At 49.7% G+C, this 27,809-nt stretch overlaps 1 protein-coding gene, 1 long non-coding RNA gene and 1 other non-coding gene across 5 annotated transcripts, besides 13 other annotated features; 1 reads left to right on the top strand and 2 right to left on the bottom strand.

The window, feature by feature from the left end:
• On the bottom strand, nt 8,581-26,267 carry ENO1 (enolase 1). Of its 3 annotated transcripts, none has more exons than NM_001428.5 (12): nt 26,161-26,267; nt 22,405-22,498; nt 19,472-19,567; nt 18,033-18,091; nt 15,569-15,638; nt 14,698-14,831; nt 13,860-14,082; nt 12,866-13,063; nt 11,472-11,673; nt 10,816-10,924; nt 10,468-10,526; nt 8,581-9,010 (listed from the first exon to the last, which is right to left on the bottom strand). In NM_001428.5, the coding sequence occupies exons 2-12, from the start codon at nt 22,487-22,489 to the stop codon at nt 8,941-8,943; spliced, it is 1,305 nt and encodes a 434-aa protein (NP_001419.1). In that variant the 5' UTR covers nt 22,490-22,498; nt 26,161-26,267; the 3' UTR covers nt 8,581-8,940. The 3 variants fall into 3 exon arrangements, with proteins under 3 accessions (NP_001419.1, NP_001340275.1, NP_001188412.1); NM_001353346.3 differs by lacking the exon at nt 18,033-18,091 and adding an exon at nt 18,406-18,464; NM_001201483.4 differs by having other exon boundaries at nt 18,033-19,567.
• Nucleotides 10,111-10,405: an enhancer, noted in NCBI's record as "tiled region #9811; HepG2 Activating DNase unmatched - State 25:Art, and K562 Activating DNase unmatched - State 25:Art". NCBI's record gives its function as "activates a minimal TATA promoter and a strong SV40 promoter by Sharpr-MPRA in HepG2 and K562 cells {active_cell/tissue: HepG2 | K562}" and the evidence as "EXISTENCE:reporter gene assay evidence [ECO:0000049][PMID:27701403]".
• Nucleotides 13,137-13,972: an enhancer, noted in NCBI's record as "H3K4me1 hESC enhancer chr1:8925615-8926450 (GRCh37/hg19 assembly coordinates)". NCBI's record gives its function as "activates a minimal SCP1, AML or CMV promoter by ChIP-STARR-seq in naive H9 embryonic stem cells {active_cell/tissue: H9 hESC(naive)}" and the evidence as "EXISTENCE:reporter gene assay evidence [ECO:0000049][PMID:30033119]".
• Nucleotides 14,083-14,171, bottom strand: MIR6728 (microRNA 6728). The gene has a single exon (NR_106786.1). It is a non-coding gene; the product is annotated as a microRNA 6728 (primary transcript).
• Nucleotides 20,681-21,470: an enhancer, noted in NCBI's record as "OCT4-NANOG-H3K27ac hESC enhancer chr1:8933159-8933948 (GRCh37/hg19 assembly coordinates)". NCBI's record gives its function as "activates a minimal SCP1, AML or CMV promoter by ChIP-STARR-seq in naive H9 embryonic stem cells {active_cell/tissue: H9 hESC(naive)}" and the evidence as "EXISTENCE:reporter gene assay evidence [ECO:0000049][PMID:30033119]".
• Nucleotides 20,681-22,060: a biological region, named in NCBI's record as "MED14-independent group 3 enhancer GRCh37_chr1:8933339-8934538".
• Nucleotides 20,861-22,060: an enhancer, noted in NCBI's record as "MED14-independent group 3 enhancer chr1:8933339-8934538 (GRCh37/hg19 assembly coordinates)". NCBI's record gives its function as "activates an origin of replication core promoter dependent on BRD2, BRD4, P300/CBP and CDK7 cofactors, and independent of MED14, by STARR-seq in HCT116 cells {active_cell/tissue: HCT116}" and the evidence as "EXISTENCE:reporter gene assay evidence [ECO:0000049][PMID:35650434]".
• Nucleotides 25,104-25,696: an enhancer, noted in NCBI's record as "H3K27ac hESC enhancer chr1:8937582-8938174 (GRCh37/hg19 assembly coordinates)". NCBI's record gives its function as "activates a minimal SCP1, AML or CMV promoter by ChIP-STARR-seq in primed H9 embryonic stem cells {active_cell/tissue: H9 hESC(primed)}" and the evidence as "EXISTENCE:reporter gene assay evidence [ECO:0000049][PMID:30033119]".
• Nucleotides 25,641-25,760: a silencer, noted in NCBI's record as "silent region_204". NCBI's record gives its function as "represses an Ori minimal core promoter by ATAC-STARR-seq in GM12878 lymphoblastoid cells {active_cell/tissue: GM12878}" and the evidence as "EXISTENCE:reporter gene assay evidence [ECO:0000049][PMID:35858748]".
• Nucleotides 25,641-26,290: a biological region, named in NCBI's record as "H3K27ac hESC enhancer GRCh37_chr1:8938175-8938768".
• Nucleotides 25,697-26,290: an enhancer, noted in NCBI's record as "H3K27ac hESC enhancer chr1:8938175-8938768 (GRCh37/hg19 assembly coordinates)". NCBI's record gives its function as "activates a minimal SCP1, AML or CMV promoter by ChIP-STARR-seq in naive and primed H9 embryonic stem cells {active_cell/tissue: H9 hESC(naive and primed)}" and the evidence as "EXISTENCE:reporter gene assay evidence [ECO:0000049][PMID:30033119]".
• Nucleotides 25,971-26,020: a silencer, noted in NCBI's record as "silent region_205". NCBI's record gives its function as "represses an Ori minimal core promoter by ATAC-STARR-seq in GM12878 lymphoblastoid cells {active_cell/tissue: GM12878}" and the evidence as "EXISTENCE:reporter gene assay evidence [ECO:0000049][PMID:35858748]".
• Nucleotides 26,291-26,882: an enhancer, noted in NCBI's record as "H3K27ac hESC enhancer chr1:8938769-8939360 (GRCh37/hg19 assembly coordinates)". NCBI's record gives its function as "activates a minimal SCP1, AML or CMV promoter by ChIP-STARR-seq in primed H9 embryonic stem cells {active_cell/tissue: H9 hESC(primed)}" and the evidence as "EXISTENCE:reporter gene assay evidence [ECO:0000049][PMID:30033119]".
• Nucleotides 26,291-26,990: a biological region, named in NCBI's record as "H3K27ac hESC enhancer GRCh37_chr1:8938769-8939360".
• On the top strand, nt 26,416-27,466 carry ENO1-AS1 (ENO1 antisense RNA 1). Its single transcript, NR_038351.1, has 2 exons — nt 26,416-26,541; nt 27,146-27,466. It is a non-coding gene; the product is annotated as an ENO1 antisense RNA 1 (long non-coding RNA).
• Nucleotides 26,741-26,990: a silencer, noted in NCBI's record as "silent region_206". NCBI's record gives its function as "represses an Ori minimal core promoter by ATAC-STARR-seq in GM12878 lymphoblastoid cells {active_cell/tissue: GM12878}" and the evidence as "EXISTENCE:reporter gene assay evidence [ECO:0000049][PMID:35858748]".

Raw genomic sequence — 27,809 nt, forward strand, 5'->3', positions numbered from 1 at the left:
TTAGCCCAGGAATTCGAGGCTGCAGTGAGCTATGATTATCACTGCACTCCAGCCTGGGTGACAGAGTGAAACTCCATCTCAAAAAAAAAGACAGATCATGCCATCTCAAAAAGAAAGAAAGAAAGAAAGAAAGAAAGAAAGAAAGAAAGAAAACCACAAAACTTCTCTCATTTCTTTCTTTTTTTTAATTTTCTTTTTTATTTTTGAGGCAGAGTCTCTGTCACCCAGGCTGGATTTCAGTGGTAAGCATAGCTCTCTGCAGCCTCGAACTCCTGGGCTCAAGGCATCCTCCAGCCTCAGCCTCCTAAAGTGTTGGGATTACAGGCGTGAGCCATCATGCCTGGCCTCCTCTTCATCCTGAGCACCAAAACGTCAGAACTCAGAGGTCTTGCCGGTAGGTTGCTGTGTGCCTTATGTGAGGGACATTAAAACCACATGGTGTGGACCATGGGGCTTATTCATGCCTGGGGCACCTGCTGTGTACCAGGCACCTTTCTTCCTGCAGGATTCACTACAGTCAGCAAAATAAAGTCTAATGGAGCTTACAGTGTAATTAAGGAAGAAGAAATAAAAAGCAGATATATAACATTTCAGGTGATGTTAAGTACCTTGCAGAAAATAAAGCAGGGTACGGGGTAGAGCATTGGCCAGGGAAGGGCTGGGGTGTATGTATGTGCATTTGGGGAGATGGTAGCCCCCCTTGGCCTTGAAAGTGTTTCTCAAAGCCTCAAAGCCCCAGCATGCTAATAGTCTGGAAACCCATTAACCAGCAGACACACTTAGACACTGCAGAGGTCAAGACCTCCCCAGCACTGTGGACAGAGCCACAGTCAAAGCCAAACAGCTCCAGGGTCTCCTTTTTAATAAGGTACCACTTCACGGCCGGGCGCTGTGGCTCACACCTGTAATCCCAGCACTTTGGGAGGCCGAGGCCGGCCGATCACGAGGTCAGGAGACCGAGACCATCCTGGCTAACACGGTGAAACCCCGTCTCTACTAAAAAAAAAAAAAAAAAAAAAAAAAAAAAAAATTAGCTGGTTGCGGTGGTGGGCGCCTGTAGTCCCAGCTACTCGGGAGGCTGAGGCAGGAGAATGGCGTGAACCCGGGAGGCGGAGCTTGCAGTGAGCCGAGATCGCGCCACTGCAGTCCAGCGAGACTCCTTCTCAAAAAGAAAAAGAAAAAAAAAAAGGTACCACTTCATTCCTACTAGGATGGCCATAATTGACACATGCAAAATAGCAAGTAATTAGAATGCGAGGAAACTGGAACCCGCTATTTTACTCGTGGGAATGGAAAACGGTGCAGCCGCTGCGGAAAGCAGGTTGGTGGTTCCTCAAAGTGTTAAACATAGAATCCCCACAAGACCCAACAATTCTACTCATAGGTATTGACCCTGAAGAATCGAAAGCAGGGGCCAGGTGCGGTGGCTCACGCCTGTAATCCCGGCGCCTTGGGAGGCCGAGGCGGGAGGATCCCTTGAGCCCAGGAGTTTGAGACCAGCCTGGGCAACATAGGGAGACCCTGCCTCTATAAAATATTAAAAAATTAGCCAGGTGATCGCGCCACTGAACTCTAGCCTGGGCGACAGGGCGAGACTCCATCTCAAAAAGAAAGAAAAAAGTTAAAATGATAAATCTTGTTTTCTTTATTTTACAACAATTAAGAAAAAAGGACATTGTCTTGCACAGTAACCTTTCCATAACAGCATCAGGAACCTGGCGGAAGGCTGAGACGGTGGCGGAGCTGTGGTCCTTCCTTAAAAAGGTGCAGTCATGGTGGCAGTGGGGTGGCCAAGAGACAGCCTGGAGGTAACTGTCTTCAGTTAGCGCCAGTCTCAGAAGTGGTGGCTGTGCACAAGTGACGATGGAGGGTTTTTAATTGCTCCTGAATTAATGTGCTTACTTCTCACCCCTGGGGTGCCTGGGTTTAATTACTGTCTTAGGTCACATATGCAAATGAGTCTGCTATCACTCCTGGTCCCAGTGGACAGCAGCCCGGATTACCCAGCCCTTGCACATTGCAGCAAGACCAGCGGGAAGAAGCTGCAGTGCCCCTGGCCAGGATGGCCTGTTAGAGCTGAATCCGATGAAGGTGATGTGATGCCTGCCCCCTGTGCCGGGTCTAGATGAACTGAAGAGTTCAAGGTTGCCAGGGGAGTCCTTGATCCTTAAAGCACTGGGAGACCAGCTGTCAATGGTGGAGAAACCCCGGAAGCCCTGAATTCATGAGTACCTGGGCATGGAGGAGTTTCACACAAAAGGAAAGAACTGGGAAGCCAGCAACCTGCAGAAGAGGCCATGGACAAGGGGTGCAGACCCAAAAACCTTGGGGGCTGGGCAGGCAGGGAAGAGAAGCAGGCAGGAGGGACCTCAGCTGCCTAACGGGGTGGCCAACTGCTGCCTTCTGGGAATGCAGTGTTGTCCATTTTCCAATCCCTCAGAATCCAGAAACTAGGGCCAGGCACGGTGGCTTATGCCTGTAATCTCTGTACTTTGGGAGGCAGGAGGATTGCGTAAACCCAGGAGTTGGAGACCAGCCTGGGTAATACAGCAAGACCTTGTCTCTAAAAAAAAAAGTTTTAAAATTAGCCAGGCATCGGCTGGGCAAGATGGCTCATGCCTGTAATCCCAGCACTTTGGGAGGCCGAGGCGGGCGGATCACGAGGTCAGGAGTTTGAGACAAGCCTGGCCAACATGGCGAAACCCTGTCTCTACTAAAAATACAAAAATTAGCCGGGTATGATGGCAGGCACCTGTAATCCCAGGTACTCAGGAGGCTGAGGCAGGAGAATCACTTCAACCTGGGAGGTGGAGGTTGCAGTGAGTCAAGATCGTGCCATTGCACTCCAGCCTGGGTGACATGAGCAAGACTCTTGTCTCAAAAAAATAAAACAAAATAAAATAAAATAAGCCAGGCATGGTGGCATGTGCCTGTAGTCACAGCTACTCAAAAGACTGAGGTGGGAGGATCGCTTGAGCCCAGGAGGCGGAAGATGCAGTGAGTCCTGATCACACCAATGCACTCAGTCTGGCTGACACAGTAAAAAAAAAAAAAAACCCCAGAAATTGACGATTTTACATGAAGTCAGTTTTTTTAGATATTGGCAATTAATTAAAATAAAACACACACACAGAGTAGGCTGCCTGGGGAAGGGATGGGGCGGGGATTGAGTGGCAAGGGACCCAAGGAACTTTTGGAAGTGCTGGAAATATTCCCGTTACCCAGGTGTATTTGTTAAAATATGTCACACTGATACGGTTAGGCTTTGTGTCCACACCCAAATCTCATCTTGAATTGTAATCCCCATAATTCCCATAATCCCCACACGTCAAGGGAGAGACCAGATAGAGGTAATTGAATCATGGAGCCGGTTTCCCCCATGCTGTTCTTGTGAGAGTGAGTTCTCATGAGATCTGACGGTTTTAATTTTATTTTTATTTGTTATTATTGTTTTTGAGATGGAGTCTTGCTGTGTCACCCAGGCTGGAGTGCAATGGCACGATCTCGGCTCACAGCAACCTCCGCCTCCCTGGTTAAAGCAATTCTCCTGCCTCAGCCACCCGAGTAGCTGGGATTAGAGGCGCCTGTGCCACCACGCCTGGCTAACTTTTTGTATTTTTAGTAGAGATGGGGTTTCACCATGTTGGTCAGGCTGGTCTTGAATTCCTGATCTCAGGTGATCTGCCCGCCTTGGCCTCCCAAAGTGCTGGAATTACAGGCGTGAGCCACCGCGCCCAGCGAGATCTGACAGTTTTATAAGAGGCTCTTCCCTCTTTGCTTGGCACTTCTCCTTCCTGCCGCCATGTGAAGAAGGTGCCTGTGCCCTTTGCCTTCTGTCATGATTATAAGTTTCCTGAGGCCTCCCCAGCCATGCTCAACTGTGAGTCAATTAAACTTCTTTCCTTTATAAGTTACCCAGTCTTGGGCAGTTCTTTATAGCAGTATGAAAACAGACTAATACACACACCATACGCTCCAAATGGACATCTGTTATTGAATGTCAATGATACCTCAATAAAGTTAGCTAAATAGAAAAGGGAATTGGGAATGGGAAACTCACAGAAGCCCAAGGAGAAGTGTTGGGACCTAGAATCAATTTACATTTTTTTTTTTGAGTAAGGGTCTCACTGTATCGCCCGGGCTGGAGTGCAGTGGCACAATCTCGGCTCACTGCAACCTCCACTTCCCAGGTTCGAGTAATTCTCGTGCCTCAGCCTCCTAAGTAGCTGGGATTACAGGTGCACACCACCACGCCCATCTAATTTTTATATTTTTAGTAAAGACGGGGTTTCGCCATGTTGGCCAGGCTGGTCTGGAATTCCTGGCCTCAAGTGATCCACCCACCTCAGCCTCCCAAAGTGCTGGGATTACAGGCCTAAACACCTTCCTCCCCTTTCCCTATGTCCTGCACCTCTTCTTACCTAAGTGTATCGGCACCTGATTGTCCAGCTGAATCATTTTATTCCGCGTGGGAGCCCGAGTTGGTGTGATCGTTTATAGTACTATGTGTGCTCACCCTTGAGTGGTTGTACTATTGTGTTATTAGCCCCCTTTTATGGATGGAGGAACTGACACACAGTTGTTGGGGGAAAAGCCAGAATCCAGAGTCACACAGCCTGGCTCTGTGTTCTCCGACACTGCTGCCTGCACTGCGGCTGCTATCGGGGAGCAGGTGCTGGGAACCTGCTGCTTAGGGGACAGCTAGTGTGGCTGCATCTACAGGCCCTAGTATGGAACACATTGCTAAGAAGCAGGCTCCTAGCACAGCCCCGTGGACTGTGTTGGTGGCATTCAGAGGCCACCTTCCTGCCTCGGCTGCATTCACTAAAATGAAAATTACCAGGACTTTGTGCTTTTCAGGGAAAGCCTGGCTGCCTCCCACTGTGTCCTTGAAAGCTTGGCGTTCCAGCCCTGCCTGGTTATCACCACCTATGAAATCCATTTACTTGTTACACCAGCGGTTCTCAAGTCTGGCTGCACACTGGAGTCAGCTTTAAAAAATACTGAAGCTTTGGGTTCCACCCTGAGGTTCTGAATTAATTGACCTGGGGTGAGTCCTGATATAGAAGCTTCAGAAGCCTCCCAGGTGATTCTAATGTGGCCAAGTTTCGGAATCATTGCTTTAAACTTTCAACTTACCTTTTTTTTTGAAGACAGAGTCTCGGTTTGCTGCTCAGGCTGCAGTGATCACAGCTCACAACTCCTGGGCTCAAGTGATCTCTCCACCGCAGCCTCCTGAGTAGCTGGGACTACAGGGACCATGTCACCATGCCCAGCTAATTTTTTACTATTTTTTTTTTTCAGCTGGGTGCAGTGGCTCACGCATGTAATCCCAGCACTTTGGGAGACCAAGGAGGGCAGGTCACCTGAGGTCGGGAGTTCAAGACCAGCCTGGCCAACATGGTGAAACCCTGTCTCTACTAAAATTACAAAAATTAGCTGGGAGCGGTGGTACATGCCAGTAATCCCAGCTACTCTGGAGGCTGAGGCACGGGAATCACTTGAATCCAGGAGGTGGAGGTTGCAGTGAGCCAAGATCATGCCACTGCACTCCAGCCTGGATGACAGAGTGAGATGCTGTCTCAGAAAAAACCAAACCAAACCATATATATAGTTTTTTTTCAGCCCAGGCTAACCCCAGACCTATCTTAAATGTTTCACTGAGGATGGCTTTCTCGAAACTTATTCATGTTGCCTGTCCTGCTTCAGACAGGCTCCCCAGGAAAGGACCCAGAGGTCTGCACTTCTGCTGGGCTCACATCTGCCAGTCAATGTCAGGAATGTGCTTTGTTTCTGCTGGGTCAGGAAGTTTAGTCACAGTTGGCTTTCCTTATTTGGGGCCTCTGTGTCTCCAGGGTCAATGTGGTAAACCGCTCAGTCCAGCCTGCAATGGAAATGGCTCCAACCCCAGCCCAGCAGCTTCCTTTCAGGGTGGTGTGGACTGGAAGGGATCCTATCTACCTGTGTTTGCCATCTAACCTCAAGAGTGATAAATGAGGTTCACCTCACAGTCAGGAAATGTTGACATTAAACCAAACTGAAAAATACTCATGCTAACTTGCTGCCTTCGAGTTGAGACAAACAAGATGTAGAACATGCCAGTAACTGTCAGACCCAAGTTCCATGATTTACTTCCCTCCAGGATCAGTTCTCAGACACTGGTCATGAGAACCTGGAAAGGGTTAGTATCTGGGGTTTTATGTGGGATGATTGCATTAAGTTAGGCAGGAGAATGACTTTGTTACTGTCATTATCTGGAGATTAAGTATAGTTTAAGGAAATGCATATGGGTGTAGAGCTGACAAGGGGGGAACCATGATGGCTTTGATATATCAACTTGACGATTCCCCAGTTATTCAATCAAATACTAATCTAGGTATTACTGTGAAGCTATTTTGCAGCGGTAATTAAAGCTACTAATAAGTAGACGTTAAGGAATTATCCTAATTACTCTAGATCTGCCCAACTCCATAAGCGAGGTGTTTTTTTGTTTTTTGAGAGTCTTCCTCCATCACCCAGGCTGGAGTGCAGTGGCGTGATCTCAGCTCACTGCAACCTTCACCTCCTGGGTTCAAGCAATTCTCCTGTCTCAGCCTCCTGAGTAGCTATGACCACAGGCACACGCCACCACTCCCGGCTAATTTTTTGGTATTTTTAGTAGAGACTGGGTTTCGCCATCTGGGCCAGGCTGGTCACAAACTCCTGACCTCAGGTGATCCACCCACCTCAGCTTCCTAAAGTGCTGAGATTACAGGTGCAAGCCACTGCACCCAGCTAGTGAGGTGGTCTTAAAAACCGAGGTTTCAAGACAGAAATTTCACCTGTGAAATGACAGCTTCACCCAAGCCCCTGGAGTTCCAGCCTGCTGCTGGCCATTGTCCCTTCCCACTGGCAGCCCTGTGAATTTCAGACGTGCTTATCCAGGCCCCACAATCAGAGGCCAGTTATTACTTTTGAGAAAGGCTCTCACTGTGTCACCCAGACTGGAGTGCAGTGGTGCGATTTTGGCTTATGGCAGCCTTGACCTCTGGGGCTCAAGCAATCCTCTGGCCTCAGCCTGCTGAGTAGCTGGGACCATAGCTACGCCGACATGCTTGGCTAACTTTACCTCTCCTTATTGGTTCTGCTTCTCAGGTTAAATCCTGACATTAACAATGAACAAGAATGTCCACAAGAGGGCTCCCCAGCTCCCTGACTGTGCATTGGAACGCGCAACTCAAGATACTTCTTTTAGGGAGAAAAATCAAGTAATAGAATATGGGACCTCTTAAGGTGCAGATGGCAACCACAGTTTCTCATCTCTTTATTTTTTTTGAGACGGAGTCTCACTCTTGCCCAGGGTGAAGTGCAGTGGTGTGATCTTGGCTCACTGCAACCTCCACGTCCTGGGTTCAAACGATTCTCATGCCTCAGCCTCCTGAGCAGCTGGGGTTACAGGCGCATGCCACCAAGCCCAGCTAATTTTTTATTTTTTTTCGAGATGGAGTCTTGCGCTGTCACCCAGGCTGGAGTGCAGTGGCGCAATCTTGGCTCACTGCAACCTCCGCCTCCTGGGTTCAAGTGATTCTCCTGCCTCAGCCTCCTGAGTAGCTGGGACTACAGGTGCCTGCCACCACGCCTGGCTAATTTTTGTATTTTTAGTAGAGATGGGGTTTCAACATATTGGCCAGGCTGGTCTCAAACTCCTGACCTTGTAATCCACCAGCCTCAGCCTCCCAAAGTGCTGGGATTAGAGGCATGAGCCACCGCACCCGGCCTCATTTTTGTATTTTTAGTACAGGCGGGGTTTTGCCATATTGGCCAGGCTGGTCTTGAACTTCTGACCTCAGATGATCCGCCTGCCCTGGCCTCCCAAAGTGCTGGGATTATAGGCATGAGCCACTACAACTCGCTTCATCTCTCACTTTTTAATAAACGTATTCTTCACACCCCGTGTTCAGCATTACCCTAGAACAGTACTTGCTGCAACATTCAAGTTTTCCATCTGCTTAATCCAATGCAGTGGGCAGCAGCTACAAATGGCAGCTACCGGACACATGAAACCTGAAGCTTGAGAAACCGAGGAGTGGAATTCATTCATTTAAATCGGGTCCTGAGGTCTTCTTGATGCCCTTCTGCCTTCCTGCCCAGAGCTCCCATTTAATCCTTCTTTCACCTGCTTTCCCCAGGAAGAGACCCTGGGAAGAGAACATCTCTTCCCAGGATGGTCACCTTTACCCTGAAGTCCTTCTGGTCTGAATATGGCTGTGTAACCTAGTAGCTACCATCCTTAAGATTATCTACAAATAGGCCTGCATTTGAAGTTTCTTCCAAACAAGGTGTCCAAACAAAGTCTCGCTCTGCCTTCCAGCTTAGACTCTGTTTTGACCCCACTATCCTGGAGGGACCGTGTATGTCTCTTCTCTTGCCTTTGCCTCTGGTTCCCTTCCCAAGGACCCAGGAAAATGACCCCAATGGATCCTCATCCTTTTCTGTTACGACACCAAACCTTGGTTCTCAAAGGCCGACACCCTTTCGCCAGGGGCCCCTGAACACTAAGGACAGACCCAGATTGTTCCAGACATACACAGGCACACGGAGTATTCTCATGGGTCACTGAGGCTTTTTATTTTGAGCACAAAACCACCGGGGATCTAGCCTGTGGCCACCCCGGAGATGACACGAGGCTCACATGACTCTAGACACTTGGTGGAAAGTGAGGCGAGAAAAACAATGACTTGGGCCAATTACACGACTGCAAAGCTAGAGCTGCCAACAGGGCTCCAGGGAGCTTGGCTTCTGTAGAAGTTCTAAGGAAGCGGTACGAACTCCACGGCGGTGGGGCGCTAACTAGCAGGGACCCCTGCAAGTGTTGGTCGGGGGCCTCGAGCTGCCTGAGCTGACACGAGGGGAGGGGTCTGTGTAGCCAACAGGTGACCGAAGGGCTTGCCTGCCCACAGCTTACTTGGCCAAGGGGTTTCTGAAGTTCCTGCCGGCAAACTTAGCCTTGCTGCCCAGCTCCTCTTCAATTCTTGGGAAGGAGAAAGGTAAAGAGATGGGGAGGAAAAAAGAAAAGTCAGACCTCAAGTTTTAAGTTTTCCCATCCTAGATGTGGTCAAAGACACAGCCCCACTCCTGGGAAGTTGAGAACACAGAACTCTCCAGTTTGTCCACCTTCTTTAAACCCTCTAAACTTGTGCTTCTCTGAGAAGCCAGATATAGAAAAGTATTTAGTTCTCCTCATCCCAACTCACCATGCTAGGTGCCCTCCACCCACCGCCCCTTCTCTTCCTCTCCTCTCCCCGTCAGTGTTGCAGAGGAGCAAAGTAAAATGTCAGCATTGCCATTTCTTGGAATATAAAAATTCTAATGCTTTTGTTTTTTAAAAAATATTGAAGGGACAACAAATAAATGGCATGGGGAGAAAAGGAGAGTGACCTTATTAAAAGACAAAATGTGTGAGCTGTTTGGATCTTGATGTTAAAAAAAAAAAAAAAAAAAAAGGCCAACACATTTTGGGGCCAGGCACAGTGGGAGGATCACCCGAGGTCAGCTTGACCAATATGGTGAAACCCCGTCTCTATTAAAAATACAAAACAATTAGCCAGGCATGGTGGTGGGCACCTGTAATCCCAGCTACTCGGGAGGCTCAGACAGGAGAATTGCTTGAATCTGGGAGGCAGAGGTTGCAGTGAGCCAAGACTGAGCCACTGCACTCCAGCCTGGGCGACAGAGTGAGATCCCTCTCAAAAAAATAAAAATAAAATTCCCCAGCAAAAAAAGAATGGGAGTTTGAGGCTGCAGTGAGCTATGACTGCCCCACTGCACTCCAGCCTGAGTGACATGGCAAGACCCTGTCTCAAACAAACAAAACAACAAAAAAGCCCTGCGTCTACTGTTCACCTGCTTTTTTGTATATGTTTGAAAATTTCCAGGATACAGTTTGAATGAAGGGGTAATATGGGAGAACTTAGCGGGGTGGCGGGCGGGGGGACAAGTCTCCTGGTGTTCAGGGGCTTCCCAAGGACACAGACAGGAAAGGGAGACCAGAACAGCCCCACAGCGCTCACAAGTGGAAACCCAGCCATGTGCCCTTCGGCCTTTTCTTCCTCCCTCCCAGCCCTGGCTCCACATCCACAAACAGGGGTTAAATGCGCTGAAACAGATCATATGAAGGAGCTCTCTGAAAGCTCTAAGAAAGTCATGCATCAGCTGTCAAAGGGGGTCCCATTCTTTCTCACCAGAAGAGGGCAGCACTGTGTGGAACAGGCTCCTGCCTCTGGTGGCGCTGCAGTGGGTGGGTAGGGGGAGTCTAGGCCTAACTCTGTCCTGACCTAAGCCTGCTCAGGGCCTGGCTGTCTGCACTGTGCACCTGCACCTGTACATGTTCCCAGAGCCAGGAGCTCCTGGGGGAGGGCAGTGCCTACACTGAGTGCAGGCCCCCACCTAGTGAACCACAGGCCCCTTGTTCTCAGGAGCCCTCCTTACCTGAGGAGCTGGTTGTACTTGGCCAAGCGCTCAGATCGGCAAGGGGCACCAGTCTTGATCTAGGAGAAAAGAAAGGCCATTTGCTTACAGCGGACAAGCTTTGCAGGCATTTCTGGCAGGGAGAGGGTGTGGTGTCAGAGAGAGAATTTCTAGAGGATCTGATGCTAGGAAAGTGGGGGCCACAACATACAGGCAGGGCGCTCATGCCCCCATTCTGTTCAGCCTCAGAAACAAGAGCACTGACTCAGGGGACATGAGCAAAACGGGGACAGACATGGAGCCTCACTGGTTTTGGGTCTTCCTAGGAAGTTGAGGTCAGAGAAGAAAGGAGGAGACGCTCATTCTTACCTGCCCAGTGCACAGCCCCACAACCAGGTCAGCGATGAAGGTATCTTCAGTCTCCCCCGAACGATGAGACACCATGACGCCCCAACCATTGGCCTGGGCCAGCTTGCACCTGGAAGCCAAGGAACAACCCAGATGGCATGATCCCATTTTCTGGTTCCATAACCCCCAATGCCATTACCCCTCGGTGCCAGCAGGAAAGCAGTGGAGGGGCTGTTAATGGCTAAAGCCCTCCATGCCTGGGCTTTGTCAAGAGCACAGAGGAGAACCCTCACCCTCCCCTGAACTCTTCCACCCCCAGGACCTTCTTAGCCCTCCTGTCATAGTTGAAACACTGGGTTCAGCCTCCCTTGATGGGAGAAAGATTAGTGTTCTCTGACAGAGCTCTTCACAGAATACAACTACTTGCTATGTTGCCCAGGCTGGTCTTGAGCTCCCGAGCTCAAGTGATCCTCCTGCCTTGGCCTCCCAAAATGTTGGGATTACAGGCCCCAATTGTTTAATTTAAAAGGCTCCTGAGTTCAAACACAAAACCTGTTAAAATTCCAGCGAGTCCTACATTCTGGCCAGCAGGATTCCCCATCACCAGAACAAAAGGGCCCTTTTCTGATTCACAAGCCGTAGCTGCGGGAAAGCTGCTCGCCTGGGAAGACACTTACGCCTGAAGAGACTCGGTCACGGAGCCAATCTGGTTGACTTTGAGCAGGAGGCAGTTGCAGGACTTCTCGTTCACGGCCTTGGCGATCCTCTTTGGGTTGGTCACTGTGAGATCATCCCCCACTACCTGGATTCCTGCACTGGCTGTGAACTTCTGCCAAGCTCCCCAGTCATCCTGGTCAAAGGGATCTTCGATAGACACCACTAAGGAAAGGAGGGACACGCTTCATCAGTGTGATCCTCCCAGTGTGCTCCACCGCAATGCCCAGCCTTGCTTCCCCCTTGACTTGCTGCTCGCCTGGCCTCACAATGCCCAAAAGCATAGGATGGGGACAGCTCCCCAACTGATCCTTGAAACAATGTGCCCCAGCCTACTCCTGCAGCAGGGGACAAAAGTCACCCACAATCCTGGGTATCTATAGATCTAAAACAAAAAAAATCTCACTCTGTCACCCAGGCTTGAGTGCAGGGGTGCAATCATAGCTAAGTGCAGCTGTGAAATCCTGGGATCAAATGATCCTCCCACCTCAGCTTCCTGAGTCGCTGGGACTATAGGGGTATGCCAACCTACCCAGCTACTTATTTTATTTTATTTTTTTGTAGCAATGGAGTCTTGCTATGTTCCCTAGGCTGATCTCAAACTCCTGGGCTCAAGTGATGCCGTTTCAGCCTCTCCAAGTGCTAGGATTCCAGGCGTGAGCCACCATATGCCCAGCCTCAAAAATTTTGTTTAAGACCTGTAAGAAGAGGACACTTTTTGTCTAGGGTTGTTTGAGTTTAGTGCCACTGAAAATCAGAATGGAGCCACAGACTCAGAAGTGAGAAGACCTGAGTTTGGGTCTTGGCTCAACCTTGACCAAGTTATTTAGGGTAGTGGTTAAACACACAGACTCTGGAGTCAGATTTCCTGGTCTGAATTCTTGCCCCACCATTTGCTGTGTGCTCTCGGGCAGATTATTCAGCCAGCCATCAGCTTCCTCTCCTGTAGAAAGGTGGTCACAGTCTCTATCCTGTGCACACACACAGCCTAAAATGAATATTCCCAGCTCACAGGAAGCATGATACATCTCAGTACCAAGTGGCTGTTCTGATTCTGAAGGCTTGGTTCCCTCACCTGTCTAATGGAGCACAGACTGCCTCTGCTCCTGACTGTGAACAACTTATTATGCAATGTCGCTGCTGGCACCCGAGCTCCTTAGCTACACAAGAACCTCTGTGAAGCCCTGTGTATGCACAACTGGGGGCAAACCCAGTGGTGAATCCCCTACGGGAGCTGGAAGTTCAGACACTCCCTCCCCATCCCCTCCTTGCAGCCATCACCAGCCAGCCAGATGCTCCAGCTGCCCTGCTGCAGGTCAGTGGCAGGAAAGGGAGATGGCACTCGGGGAACACTCACCTGGGTAGTCCTTGATGAAGGACTTGTACAGGTCAGCCAGCTGGTCAGGCGAGATGTACCTGCTGGGGTCATCGGGAGACTTGAAGTCCAGGTCATACTTCCCAGACCTGAAGAACTCGGAGGCCGCTACGTCCATGCCGATGACCACCTTATCAGTGTAGCCAGCTTTCCCAATAGCAGTCTTCAGCAGCTCCAGGCCTGGGAAGAGATGGTGACAACAGGTTTGGAAAACAGGTAGGTACAGAGAAAACTTCCCTTCAACAGCTGCTACACAGGGACTGTAACACAAAGATCAACAGGTGTTCAGGCCCCAACCAGTAGTTCTGACATCAGTTACTTTTTTTCTGCTTTGGGGCAAGAAACCATGGGTCAGAGTTCTTGGTGCATACAAAATGGGAAATTCAGCTCTCTTTCCAAGAAAGCAGCCCTTCTCACTGACAAATGCTCCCAAATTTAGTGCCCAGGAACAGCTGTCCTGGCCAAGATACAGTTACAGTAAGCAGCTGAGATCAGCTGTCCCAAGGCACAGGCCTTAAATAGAGCAGAAGCGGGGTCCAAGAGAAAGCCCAGTGGAGGCAGCCCGGGATGGCAGGATCCTCCCGCCAGGCTGTGCCGTTGAGAGCTCAGGCTCAGGGTCTGCTGTCCATGGCTAAGCTGCCCTGCCAGCAGGACAGACGGACAGACACTTGGCTCCCCAAACTAGTAGGTATCACTTGAGCCCAGGAGGCGGAAGTTGTAGTGAGCCGAGATTGCGCCACTGCACTCCAGCCTGGGCGACAGAGACTCCATCTCAAAAAAAAAAAAAAAAAGAAAAAAATAAGTAAAATAAAATGAAGCTCCCCTTTTCCTCCTTAAAACCGTTTGAAGGGTCTTGATCTTTACAAACTACAGGTGGAAAGAATAGATTTCCACAGTGGCAGGTGTGGACGACCCCCCAACAGAGGGAGCTGGCGCTGCAGGGCTGGGTGGGGGGGCGGTTCCCTAGCGCCTTTACCTTCTTTATTCTCCAGGATGTTGGGAGCAAACCCGCCTTCATCCCCCACATTGGTGGCATCTTTCCCATATTTCTCCTTGATGACATTCTTCAGGTTGTGGTAAACCTCTGCTCCAATGCGCATGGCTTCCCTGAAGTTTGCTGCACCGACTGGGAGGATCATGAACTCCTGCATGGCCAGCTTGTTGCCAGCATGAGAACCGCCATTGATGACATTGAACGCCTGGGGAGAGCAGAGCAGAGAAGCATGGCACTGGGTCCAGAGAGCCCCACAGGGCAGTAAGCCCCTCTGGTCCTACCATCCCAATCTAGCTCACAGATGAGCCCAAGACTTGCTTCTTGAGGAGCACCAGAGGGGCCAGGGTGCTGTGAAATGCTCACCAGGTCTCTGACTCATGTTTTTAGAGACAGGGTTTCACTATACTGGTCTTGCCTAGAGGCTGGTCTCAAACTCTTGGGTTTAAGTGATCCTCCTGCCTCAGCCTCTTGATTAGCTGGGACTACAGGTGTGCGCTACTGCAACCAGTTCACGCCAGGTCTATTTTGATAACTGCAAATTCATCATCACCAGGAGAAACACTTGTGACTATGTCAGGTAATGCTCACAGCCTAGCAAGGAAAGTACTGCTGTCATTTCCTCCCCGAGCCTCCATTGCAGATAAAGGACCTGGGGCACAGGCAAGTTGAGTTACCTGCTCAAGGTCACACTTAACAAGGGGCAGAGCTGTGCTGGGAGAGTCACATGTGTTAGGATATCAAGGCATAGGAGGTCTCGGGTCCCCAACAGCAAGCTGAAACCCCCAACTCCTTGCTTGGGAAGTTCCAATAAACCACTCACCGGGACTGGCAGGATGACTTCAGAGTTGCCAGCCAAGTCAGCGATGTGGCGGTACAGGGGGACCCCCTTCTCAACGGCACCAGCTTTGCAGACGGCAAGGGACACCCCCAGAATGGCGTTCGCACCAAACTTAGCTAGAACAGAAGAGAACCGAGTGGAATGAAGTCATTTCTGATTCACCAGCTTTTCTCCTGCTGTACTGCCCTGAGGGTTGTATTCTGCACCATCTCCTCCCCCATCACACCTCCATTTCACTGTTACTAGAAATACAAATAGCATTCTATGTGGACTCACCACTGCTTTTCCCCTCTAAGACAGAGCCCAACTCCAGCCAACAGTAGGAATTGCTGAATTCATTATAAGGAGCAAAGCTCTTCTGAGTAACCAAACTGACAGGCTATTGTCACCTGGTTTTGCACCTGATATTCAAAAAAAATTTTTTTTTTTCTTTTTTTTTGAGACAGAGTCTCACTCTATTGCCCAGGCTGCAGTGCAGCGGCAGGATCTTGGCTTACTGCAAGCTCCGCCCGGGACCATTCTCCTGCTGGGACTACAGGCGCCCACCACCAGGCCTGGCTAATTTTTTGTATTTTTTAGTGGAGACGGGGTTTCACCACGTTGGCCAGGATGGTCTCGATCTCCTGACCTCGTGATCCACCTGCCTCAGCCTCCTAAAGTGTTGGGATTACAGGCGTGAGCCACCGCACCTGGCCAAAAGTGTGATTTCTTAAGAGTAAAGCAAAGAAATGGGAAGAGACCACAGGCTCATGTAGCTCATCACTAAGATCATGGGCCTCTTCCTGAAAGGTTTTAAAATCTTCAGGAGACTTCATGATCTTCCCCAGTAAAGACGCCACCTCAGGCCACTCACATTTATTTTCTGTTCCATCCATCTCGATCATCAGTTTGTCAATCTTCTCTTGTTCTGTGACGTTCAGTTTCTACGAGGGAGAGGGGAGAATGAGGGGTTGGGGCCACTCTTATCTGCATAGCCTTTGCTCCCCTACCATGGAATCTGACTTTGGAACTGTGTAATATCAAAATCAATTCTGTGATGTTTGTTTTATAAGCAAAAAAAGTGGAGGACAAAAATCAGTGGGGAGACAAAAAACTGCCTTCTGCTTGCTTTGATGGTTATCAGGCATTCACCCAACAATGCAACAGAGATGGCACTCTCAGACAATGCTTTTGTAACAAAAGGTTAATAGTCTACCCAGGGAGCCCAAAGTGACTTTACACCCAAGAGAACTGTCAGGTATGTGCTATGTAGACCACTGCTACCCAGGAACATGGCTTTCATAGGCAATAAATAAGCAAAGCTCACTGTTCACTCAAGCAGGCTGAGCCCTTGAAAGGCAGGCTCTGCTGCTCACTCTTGGCTAACTGCAAAGATGGCAAATCTTCATCCTCTGATGGGAGGCATGATTTCTGCAGGTAGTCCGAAATCATTTAGCAAAGCGTCTAATGATGGATCAAAATGAATTTTTGATGAGACTATAAAGTAACAAAACTGACGTACTGAGAACTGGCTCAAAGTAATCCAATAAAAATCAGTATTACTTTTTAATTTTTTAATTTTTATTTTTTAAGACAGAGTCTCATTCTGTTGCCAAGGCAGGAATGCAGTGTCACGATCTCAGCTCACTGCAACCTCCACCTCGTGGGCTCAAATGATCCTCCAAACTCAGCTGGGACTATAGGCATGCACCATCATGCCTGGCTAATTTTTATATTTTTTTTTTATAGAGATGGGCTTTGCCATGTTGCCCAGGCTGGTCTCAAACTCCTGGCCTCAAGGGATCTGCCCACCTCAGCCTCCTAAAGTCCTCCTAAAGTGTTGGAATTACAGGCGTTAGCCACTGCACCCAGCCAAAAATCAGCATTCCATTTTAAACTAATATATTAATAACAAGGCATTATTTTTATCTATGATGTGCTTGATATAAAAAAATATGCAAAGAAAATCAACTCTGATCCCATCATGCTGTATGAGCAATTTGGTGTCTTTCACAGCTTTGTCAAGGCATCACTGCAACAGGCAGGCAGTTACCCAAGCACACAGCTTCAGAGGTCAATTCTCACTAACAGTTTGGTATGTTTCTCTAGGGGGTTAAAAAAAAGTCAGGGGATCCTGCTCATCGTGTGAGTCACACTATGCAGGGGTATGAAGGGACAGAGAACAAGGTATGTGTGGAGGTGTCCGGGAGACTGGCAGGGGGTGGTGCAGACAGAACGGTAACAAGACATTTTGTCTGGGGGCTGGTCGGGCAGGGAGTAATTACAGAGTGCCACAAAAGCCAGGCCTAAACCAACGAGTCAGGGACAGAGACAACAAAGGAACTCCTCCTTTTCCCTCGTGTACAGAATGAATTCATGGAGGAGAGGGACTAGATTCAAGAATAGACGGAGGCTGTGGCTGGGCTTGGACTGGGCCTAGAGAGCTTTGTTATTTTTATTTTTTGAGACAGAGTCTCACTCTGTTGCCCAGGCTGGAGTGCAGTGGCACAATCTCTGCTCACTGCAACCTCTGCCTCCCAGCTTCAAGCGATTCTCATGTCTCAGACTCCCAAGTAGCTGGGACTACAGGCGTGCACCACCATGCCCGGCCAATTTTTGTACTTTTAGTAGAGATAGGGTTTCACCATGTTGGCTAGACTGGTCTCCAACTCCTGACCTCAAGTGATCCACACACCTCAGCTTCCCAAAGTGCTGGGATTACAGGTGTGAGCCACTGCACCTGGCCCGGAGTGTTTTTAGACAGGGGTTTTCAAACCAGTCCCATCTGATGAGCGCCACAGGAATTACGGAGGGACGGGCCGAAGGGAGGGTAAATGAGATAAAACCTGCAGAGTCGGGTGGGTTGCTGGGTCCCCAGCCCTACTTCACCTCCAGCAGCTCTTTTATGTTTGACATACTGAGATTTCCAGATTTTACTTAACAGGAACTCCACTGTTAAAGTCAGTAGAATTATAGTAAATAATTCCAAAGTTCATGAGAAATTAGTCACCATGGACACTACCACAAACACCCCTGAGAGCCACTCTTAAAATCTGGATCTTAATTTCTTCAAAGGTCCAGAGAGTTGCAGGGGGGAAGAAACCTCAGGGCTCGAAGTGTCTCATTCTTCTGATGCAATTCCATCTGCTCCCAAAAGTGGGGTGAGGCAGCGGGCAGGTTAGAATTATGTCATGCATGGATTGTTCTCGTGCGTGACAGGGAATCCAATAGGCTTCTACAGCTCTCAGAATAAGCTCTTCCATAAACAGGAAAGCCCCTGGGCCTGGGAGACGCTCTGGTGGCATTAGACACATTAGTTATCAGGAGGCAGGTCCTACCTTGCTAACCAGGGCAGGCGCAATAGTTTTATTGATGTGCTCAACAGCCTTTGAGACACCTGGAAGGAACAATCAAATCAAATTACTGACATTAACTTTAAAACAGGCTTGAGCAGCATTGTTAGAGAGAACCACTGTTGAGGCCGACGCGGAAGCCCACCAAGGGACCTTCTGTGGGACCTCTTCCCCCTCTCCCCTTTCCCCCCAGAATCGGAGGACTTTCCGGCCCAGTCTGAGTGCTCCTACCTAGGACCCCAGAGGGTTAGAGCCACACAAAACAGCAGCTGGCTCAGAACGATCTGACTGGAGGTTAGTTTGCAAGACCATGCACTGGAAACGCCAACTGCAGACTAAAGGCTGTTCAATCAGTTACCTGAGTGCACAGGGCTGGTGCCAGGAACTCATTAATATACTTAATGGGTCTGGAGACGCCTGCCCAGCAGAGGATGAAGAAGGAAAAATGAGAGAGACTCAGAAGAGAACCGGTGATTAAGGACTGCGAGTGAGAGACAGTGAGGGGGCAGGAAAGCAGAGGAGAGCATTTCAGGGGCCATGCGTTCAATCTTCCACAAATGCTTACTTACTGAGCACTCATTACCATCAAGGCACAGCATCATCCTGCTCCGGCTAAGTCCCCACGTACGCCATTAAACAACGGTCAAATGGTAACATGTTCGTGTGTGTAGAGTGCTTCTTACAGCATTAAAGCGGGACTGAACACCCAGCACCACCACTGCGACACCAGCCCAGTGTTTCACAACCTGATTTCATCATTGTCCCCTCCCTGCAGCCTTTTTGGAGTTTTCCGGGTGCCCCACTGAGAATGCGTGATCTAGCCCTATGTGCTTTTCTGTAATTTGGCCACATGTTCTATCTCTAGAAAGGTCAATGTTGCACACACACTAAGTCAATTTGAATACAGCCAGAGGCTAGCTCTGCCACAGAGCAGGGCTCCTATGAGTCAGTCAACAGGAAAATCACACTAAATGACACACCTGCAGCTCACCATTCAGGGCAGGTCATTGGTTAGACCTTCCCTGGATCCTTTCTAGCCCGTGAAGAGGCTGATGATCTCTGGAGGGCCCACAGAACCCTCCTGGGAGATGGGGAAACTTTTCTTTAGTTAACAGGCCCTGTTCTCATGCTTGGGTTCCTGTCCTAACCGTGAAGGAGTATTTCGCAGATTGGGAACAAACTGCAATAGAAGCAAGCATTGGAACTCTCGACCCAGAGCATGCAGGCTCGGGAACCCCGGAATCCACACACCAACTTTCCTGTCCACAAGGTGGTGCACTGCTTCCATCAACATCATGGGTCACAGCAGGTTTACCTGCCATAAACCTGCAAGTGCAAGTGCCACCCAGAGAGGACAGGACTGGGCAAGGCCAGGAATGGGGCTGGAAGCAGGGAGGCCATGGGCTGTGGGTTCTAAGGCTTACCCTTCCCCATATAGCGAGTCTTATCATTGTCCCGGAGCTCTAGGGCCTCATAGATACCAGTTGAAGCACCACTGGGCACAGCAGCTCTGAAGAGACCTGGATGAGAGGAAAAAAGATGTAGTAGCAATTCAGAAATCCAGTTCCAGCACAATCCCAAGTCCCCTCCCGCCCACAGATGCATTTGTCATTAGGGAGCTGTTTCTTCCTCCTACCAGCTGTGTGAATTAAACGCTCTGGGCTGTTCTTCATGCCTTTCACATGTTTATGATCCTGTACTGCAGAACTTACTGCAAAGATGACTAATTCCTCTAGCAGAAAGAAAGTGTTCTACAGCAGAGCCTACATGCCACCTGGAGGTCTTGTTAAAATGTAGATTCTGACCCAGGCAAATATGCATCCCTCACAAGCTCGCATTGGTGCCCTGTGGATTACTCCAGCAGCACTGCCCAAGAGAAATCCAATGCGAGCCACACAGGGCATTGAAGACGTTCTGGTACTTTTTTTTTCTTTTGAGACAGAATCTCGCTCTATCCCCCAGGCTAGAGTGTATGGCGTGATCTTGGCTCACTGCAATCTCCACCTCCTGGGTTCAAGCGATTCTCCTGCATCAGGCTCCCCAGCAACTGGGACTACAGCAGCCTGCCACCACGCCCGGCTAGTTTTTTTATTTTTAGTAAAGATGGGGTTTCACCATGTTGGCCAGGCTGGTCTTGAACTCCTGATCTCAGGTGATCTGCCCACCTCGGCCTCCCAAAATGCTGGGATTACAGGCATGAGCCACCATGCCCAGACAGGTACTATATTGATGTTAAGCATAAAATTAGGGTAATTTAACTGGCTCAGGAGGAGTATCTAGCTCATTTGTTTCAGTTTGGACAATGCTAAATGCTATTTTAGGGGTTCTATGCCCAACTGGAAACTGGCAAACAGGATGGATGTGGGGGGAAGGAATAAAGATAATAAAATGCGCAGTTTAATAAATGTAAGAACTGAACCAAGTAATCTTGCAGATACTGAAACCAGCCATCTGGTGAAACCTATACCTGTAACAAGGGCAATCTTTGGTGGAGGCAAAAGAACAGATGGTGTCAAGGAAGATGTTGCAGAGAAACCAACAAGATATTTCTAGCAAAGGACCCAGCAGTGTTCCCTGCTGCACTGCAGTGTGCGCTATCAACAGGTCATACTTCCTTCTTGAAAGCTGCCCTGGCTCCCTACATATCCACCCTACACTGGATCAGGCAAAGACAAGATGAAAACAAGAGGCTTGGAGTCTACAGACTTTTGGTGATGATAACGTGTTCACGCATGTTGACCACTCTAGTGGGGATGCTGACAATGGGGGGGCTGCGCATGTGCAGAGGCAGTGGGTACTCATGGGTTTATGTACCTCTGCACCTTCCGCCTGCTTCTGCTGTGAACCTAAAACTGCTCTAAAAAAGTTGATGAGACAGGGAGAGAGAGAGATGAAAGGTTCTGAGCAAGTCCATCATTTCATGTTTTTTGAAAAGGATTAAGACACACAAGAGAAAGTTCCATTCATTTCAATTTCAAAATGTCCAACTCCCAACAATCTTCTAGCATCTGGGGTCTTTTGTTGCTTAAAGTTCATTAATATCCAAGTAGAAAGTTCCACCCATTGACTAAGCAAACCACTCTTACTGGATGAAGGGAATTCTTGGCATCCTGTGAGAACCCTCAGGGTTCCCCATAAAGCCAGTGAGAAACCCCACAGTGCTTGAGAGCCCACACAGCAAGCAGCCAACTCAGGCATTCTTTTGCCCAACGAAGTCAGGCCTCAAGGATCCTTTCTTCCTGAGGGGGAGGGGAGGTGCAAGGGGAAGGGAAGGGCTGGGGTTCCACTGCTAGGCCTGTGACTCACAGATGGTGACTCAGCTCCGACTGGCAGTTCTCTGTGAGTTTAGCACCGCTGAGTGATTCTGCCTGAAGCTCCTTTGCCAACCTCACCCACTCTGTCCATCGCGCCATGTGCTGGAGGTAACACAGAGCTACAAAGGCACTGGATTTTCTTCTTAAAGGAAGGAGTTTCACAATTCTCTAATTTTTCATAAGAAAACTCCTCCTATAGGGATTGACAGCCAGGTAAAAATGAGAGCCTCCAGACTATTCCAAAGCCTACAGGTAAAAACTGTCCTTGATCCTTGCTGAAGACTGATTTCTAGTCACAGAGATAAAGGTGCTATATTCACACCTGCTATCCCTCCCCTTATCAAGAGATACCATCCTATCACACTGTATCCTGCATTTGGTCACAGCAAGCTGTCAGCCAACAACTAGTGATGGGCCCCTTTAGGGACAAGGTCTTGTGGTATCACCTTACTTCCTTACTTCACTGACTTAGGAGCCAACTTATGTGGTTTTAAGCCAAGGAGCTGGCAGGATCAGGCGGGGTGGCTCACACCTATAATGCCGGCACTTTGGGAGGCAGAGGCGGGCAGATCACCTGAGTGAGGTCAGGAGTTCGAGACCAGCCTGACCAATATGGTGAAACCCCCGTCTCTCCCAAAAATGCAAAAATTAGCCAGGTGTGGTGGTGCACACCTGTAGTCCCAGCTACTTGGGAGGCTGAGACAGAAGAATTGCTTGAACCTGGGAGGCAGAGGTTGCAGTAAGCTGAAATCATGCCACTGCACTCCAGCCTGGGTGACAGAGCAAGACTCCATCTCAAAAAAAAAAAAAAAAAAAAAAAGAAAAAGAAAAAGAAAAAAATAAGCCGAGAAACAGCAAGACACTGGCTCCATGCCTAAAAATTCCCCAACCCTCACAGTCAGGAATCACAACCTACTAGCATGTGCAGACAGAAAGAAAAGCTTTAACAGATTTTTTTTTTCCTAAGGCTCCAGCATTTGTAGAAAATTTTTAAAATGAAGCACGGTGGAAGGAACCATGGAAACCAAGGAGGTGGCACATACCTTTTGAGGTGAAGAGATCAACCTCAACAGTGGGATTCCCGCGAGAGTCAAAGATCTCCCTGGCATGGATCTTGAGAATAGACATGGTGAACTTCTGTAGAAGAAACACACAGTTCATGTTTTCCATAAGCCATAATGCTGCATTTCCTCACTCATTCAAGGAATCACTTCCGAGGTTCGTGGACTAGAGAGAATCAGCACTGGACTAAATACTGGATGTAGGAAAGCTGGCTAGGGTGGGGGGAAAAGCCTGCTGGAAAGCAGTGAGAATTCTCCTAATTAAGTAGTTAGGGCCTAGCTGCGGAAGGCCTTAACCTTTTTATGCCTAGTATTCCATTACTGGAACGCTAAGGGCGTGGGAGTTACTTTTATCCGACTGCTCAAGTCATTGCCAAGGTCTGATTTTTCACAAAAAAAGATTTGCAACCTCTGGCATAAATGGGTTAAACCCTAGCAATTGAGGTCTTGTTCTGTAAGAAAAAAGAAAAAAAAAAAAAGAGAGAGAAAAAGCCCACAAACGTGTGTGCCCAGGGAGAATCAAATCCAAATAGAAAGATGAATGTGTTGCTCGACGCAGAGTGGCCCAGGAGCTGTCTGAAACTGGCTATTGTCATGAGTGAACAATGAGGGCTGGCATGGGAATGGAAAGGAACCAAGAACAGACATGAAGGTCACAAGCAAAACCACCTAGGGCCAAAAAGAGGGTGGCGGGACCAGGGGAAAACCTTGCTTGTAGCAGAATTAAAACAAAATAGTGAATGAAGTTTGGACATAATTCTTCAGATTAATATTCACTTAGTAGGTATTTGATCAGAAATTCTGAGTTTGGAAGTCAGGAACAATGAAGTCCTTGGACCGTGTGATCTTGGCTACTGCCACTTCCTGGGACTTTCCAATTTCACAGTACTTGGGTCTTCAGTGTTGTTATGTCATTAATGATAACATCTTTATTTTATTTTAGTTACTTTTTTAAGAGATGGCGGTCTCACTATGCTGCCCAGGCTGCTCTCAAACTCCTGGGCTCAAGCGATCCTCCCCTGCCTTGGCCTCCCAAAGCATGCTAGGATGATTATAGGGGTAAGCCACCAGGACCAGCCAATAATGACATCTAATTATTTCTTCCCAACGGGGTTTTATAATTTGTAAATAGAGGAAAGATTCTTTGAACACCAGGATACTTCAAGGGAAGGGGCTTCCTTTAACACCACCTTAAAAAAAAAAATACAAGAATTTCCAGCAATGAACAACAAATACCAATTCCTCAAAGAAAAACCCATTCTTACTTTTTTCCTTGGCGCTCTCCAAAGAAACTAACTGAACAACTTATAGAACTGAGGTGGGTGAGAGGAACTTAGTGTTTAAAGCCATTATCTACCTGGGCTCCCCTCCAACATCTTCTCTGGAATGTCCTGAGGTGGCAAGTGGCAGGTTTTTAACTTTCAAAATTATTTACTGAAGTCACTTCTGTGGCTTTGTTGTCTATGTAACAATGGAGTTTTATTCATTAGCCAAAAAAAGGTACTTACTTTTTACTAGGTTCCAAAAAGGCAAATTTGTTTAAACATATTTTTAGATTTAATTTTGCGTTTTGGCAAATTATATACCCGAGTAACATTTCCATCACTGCAAAAAGTTATCTCAGGCCATTTCCAGTCAATATCCCCCTGCCCCATCTCCAGGCCACCACTGTGGTATACTTTGAGTATTTCAGTCATACTTTTAAAGGCAATTTTATTAGGGTGCCTCAGTACTTTTGTTTTCATTTTAGTGACTTAAGACGAAAGAAAGTCTTGGCCGGGCGCGGTGGCTCACGCCTGTAATCCCAGCACTTTGGGAGGCCGAGGAGGGTGGATCACGAGGTCAGGAGAGGAGGCTGAGGCAGAAGAATGGTGTGAACCCGGGAGGTGGAGCTTGCAGTGAGTCGAGATCGCGCCACTACACTCCAGCCTGGGCGACAGAGAGACTCCGTCTCAGAAAAAAAAAAAAAGACAAACGTCTTAGGATGTGAAAATAAAGTGTGATTTTTTTTTTATTTTTTGAGACGGAGTTTCGCTGTTGTCGCCCAGACTGGAGTGCAATGGCGCCATTTTGGCTCACTGCAACCTCAGCCTCCTGTCTCAGCCTCCCGAGTAGGTGGGATTACAGGCGCCTGCCATTACGCCCAGGTGATTTTTTTTTTTTTTTGAGACGGAGTCGCGCTCTTTCGCCCAGGCTAGAGTGCAGTGACACGATCTCGACTCACTGCAGGCTCCGCCTCCAGAGTAGCTGGGACTACAGGCGCCCACCACCACACCCGGCTAATTTTTTGTATTTTTAGTAGAGATGGGGTTTAGTAGAGTAGGATGGTCTCGATCTCCTGACCTCGTGAGCCACCCACCTCGGCCTCCCAAAGTGCTAGGATTACAGGCGTGAGCCACCGCGCCTGGTCGATTTTTGTATTTTCAGTAGAGACGGGGTTTCACCACGTTGGTCAGGCTGGTCTCTAACTCCCGACCTCAGGTGATCCTGAGGAGGCCCACCTCGGCATCCCAAAGTGCTCGGATTACAGGCGTGAGCCACCGCGCCCGGACCATTCACAGCTTTTTTAGCTGCCTGGATGGAACCCCGAATTAGGGACACGGTAAATGAATGGAGCAGTCAGGGCCCGGGTGGGCCTGAAAGGCAAGTGAAGCAATGGACCCTACCGCCCAGAGAAGCGCACAGAGCAGGGGAACATTGAACAGGAAGCTTTCTTAAAATACATCCTTCTTGGCCTAGCGCGGTGGCTCACGCCTGTAATCCCAGCACTTTGGGAGGCCGAGGCGGGCGGATCACCTGAGGTCGGGAGCTCAAGACCAGCCTGGCCAACATGGTGAAACACCGCCTCTACTAAAACAACAACAACAACAAAAAAAAAACAAAATTAGCCGGGCGTGGTGGCGCATGCCTGTAATCCCAGCTACTCGGGAGGCTGAGGTAGGAGAATCGCTTGAACCCAGGAGGCCGAGGTTGCGGTGAACCGAGATCCGAGATCGCGCAATTGCACTCCAGCCTGGGCAACAATAGCAAAACTCAAAAAAAAAAAAAAACCAAATCAGATCAGGCCCGATTTTTGGTGGCCAGCCGGGGAGCCGCTCTTGCCCAACTTGGGCGAGGTCGCCTGGAGGACTTGCCAATGATCTAACGGCTCTGCTGTAGGTTCCTCAAGAGGTGCCTTCTCGGAGTTAAATGAGTCACCGCTTACTAGGCAGAAGCGCGGGCCGCGAGCGCGGGCGAGAGGCGGGGGCTACCGGTGGGGGAGGGGGCCGCAGCCTCGTGGCCATCTCCACTATCGCCGCCCTCCTCCATTTTAGGAAGGGCCTGGCCTGAGTGGCCACCGCCGCTAAGTCTGCGTCTATCCCAAAAACCTTACACTTGGCTACGATGGAAAAGCAACTTCCACTCCCAACTCCCGCTGTGCTAAGCAGCTCGCGTGTGCAGCTCCCGACCTTCCCTGACAGTGACTCGGCCCCGCAGTCGGTAATCACGTGTTGATCTGCACTTTCCCCTCCAAAGAAATCGGGGGCCCAGCACGTGCGCCTGGCATTGCGCCCCCGCCCCGGGCCTCGGGGTGAGCGGGGGCGCCAGTTCCCACCCAGGGAGGCGGCTTGCACGTGCCCCCGACCCCGCCACGCTGGGCCTGCGGGCGCGCCGCCTCCCTCGGAGGGAAAAGAGCCCCACAAGCCCAGAAAAGCCCTGCGCCGCCTGCCCGTTGCTCAGCCCTTCCCCAATCATTACCTAGCCACTGGGTCTCGTCGCCTAGGAGAGGAAGCGGAGGGTGCTGCAGACACCGAGGTGAACGTAAAGCCGGCGAGATCTCCGTGCTCCGGGTACCCACAGATACTGTCCGCGCCGCCCGCGCCGACTTCCTGCCTAGCTAAGGCGAGCCCCACCCACTTCCCGCCTCCGGGGCACGCCCCCTCAGCTCCGCCTCGCCATTCGTCGGGAGAGCCGTCACTCATTCCCTCACCTCCCGGAAAGGGGTGGGACTGCGACGGCTGCAGTAGCGTGGAAAGGGGGGTGACGTCCCGCGGACTTGAGGCGGGCAGATCTGGGGGGCCCCGACTCCCCAGCGGCCCTGTAGTGGTGCGGGCGAAACTCTGGCCCCAGATAGGACCGGTGAGCCGAACTGGGGTGTGCGGAGCCGGGGCTCCGGGGGATGGCCCGGGGCGGCGTGGCGGGCATGAGAGCTCGGGGCTCCGTCACGTACTCCGAGTCCCGCACGCACTCAGCGTCGCTCTGGGGCCCCACGTCCGGCCCTCGACCTTGCTGACAACTTTGGCGGCCCGGGCCTGCCGCGGCCCTCCTGCCCCGCCCCTCCTGCCTCGCGCCGCGATCCGAGAGACCCCGTTGGCGTCGAGTCGTTGAGAGGCTGCGCGCCTCGGCCCCACTCCGGGGTTGGGGCGCTGGCCCCGCCGCAGCGCTGCGTGTCCGGGGCCACGTGCGCCGCCTGCGCCTGCGCGCTGCCCTCCAGCCGCGCCCGTCTGGCCGGGCTCCGCCTGGCACCCGCCAAGGTGACCCTGTCCCTTTCTCCTTGCTGCGGTGAGAATCAGGCCGAGACAGCCAAAGGAAGGTTCACTTTCCTTTAATTCTACCTCATACTTTTTGAGTGCCTTCTAGGTGTCCGGCGCGCCCCCACGTGCTTCCCCAGTGTTAATTCATTCTCTCTCTAGTCCATGTCATGTTGCCTCTCAAATTTTACATCCCTCTCATTCCCATCTAGGGAACTAGATCAAACCTACCTGGATTCTTGTGAACCATTCATGTGAATTATTTGGAACTGGAATTTCACACAGACCCGGGGAATTTCTCAAAGTTCAAGACGGGTCATATTCCGTGGAATACGGAAGGAGTTGGAGTGATTTCACTTTTCTGATCAAGAACTGATAGCCATTAAAACTCAGCTCCGCAATATATCCCCCCACTCCAAGGGAGGGCTGAGATGATCACTTCGTTTTCTGTTACGGCTACTTTTATATTTTTCAACATTACTGCTGGTCTGTAAGAGAACTAAAACATCTGATTTTCCTCATTTCCTTGTAAAGAGGTGTTCAAATATGTACTTGAATTTAATTATTTCTTCTGGTCAGCTGCAAAACCTGCTTTTCTTCCTTAACCCCTAGCATTTTTATCCTCTTAGCTACAGACAGGTTTCCATGGCGTTGGTTAAAAATTAAGGCCTATTGAGACCATAGTATTTGCTTTCCAGTGAGTAAGAAGCAAGAACTTTAGGATTAAATTCAGCAAAAAGAAAAAAAAAAAGAGTAAAATTTTGCAAGCAGAGTTTGTGATTTCACCAGCAACACACTAACGTTTTTGGCTACTGAAAACCACTATCCCCAGCCCCATGACTCAGCAGCTAAATCAACAGCCAACATCTCCTACTG

Source organism: Homo sapiens, chromosome 1 (assembly GCF_000001405.40).
Source record: "Homo sapiens chromosome 1, GRCh38.p14 Primary Assembly".
Lineage (NCBI taxonomy): Eukaryota > Metazoa > Chordata > Mammalia > Primates > Hominidae > Homo > Homo sapiens.

Bases quoted from the DNA above. Each gene is read 5' to 3' on its own strand.
- ENO1 (NM_001428.5), bottom strand. From the start codon at position 22,489: ATGTCTATTCTCAAGATCCATGCCAGGGAGATCTTTGACTCTCGCGGG. The intron at 11,674-12,865 runs GTGAGTGTTCCC...TCCTTTCCTTAG, and splicing joins CTTCATCAAGGACTACCCAG to TGGTGTCTATCGAAGATCCC. The intron at 10,527-10,815 runs GTAAGAATGAGC...CTTTTCTCCTAG, and splicing joins TGGGGCTGTGCACTGGGCAG to ATCAAGACTGGTGCCCCTTG.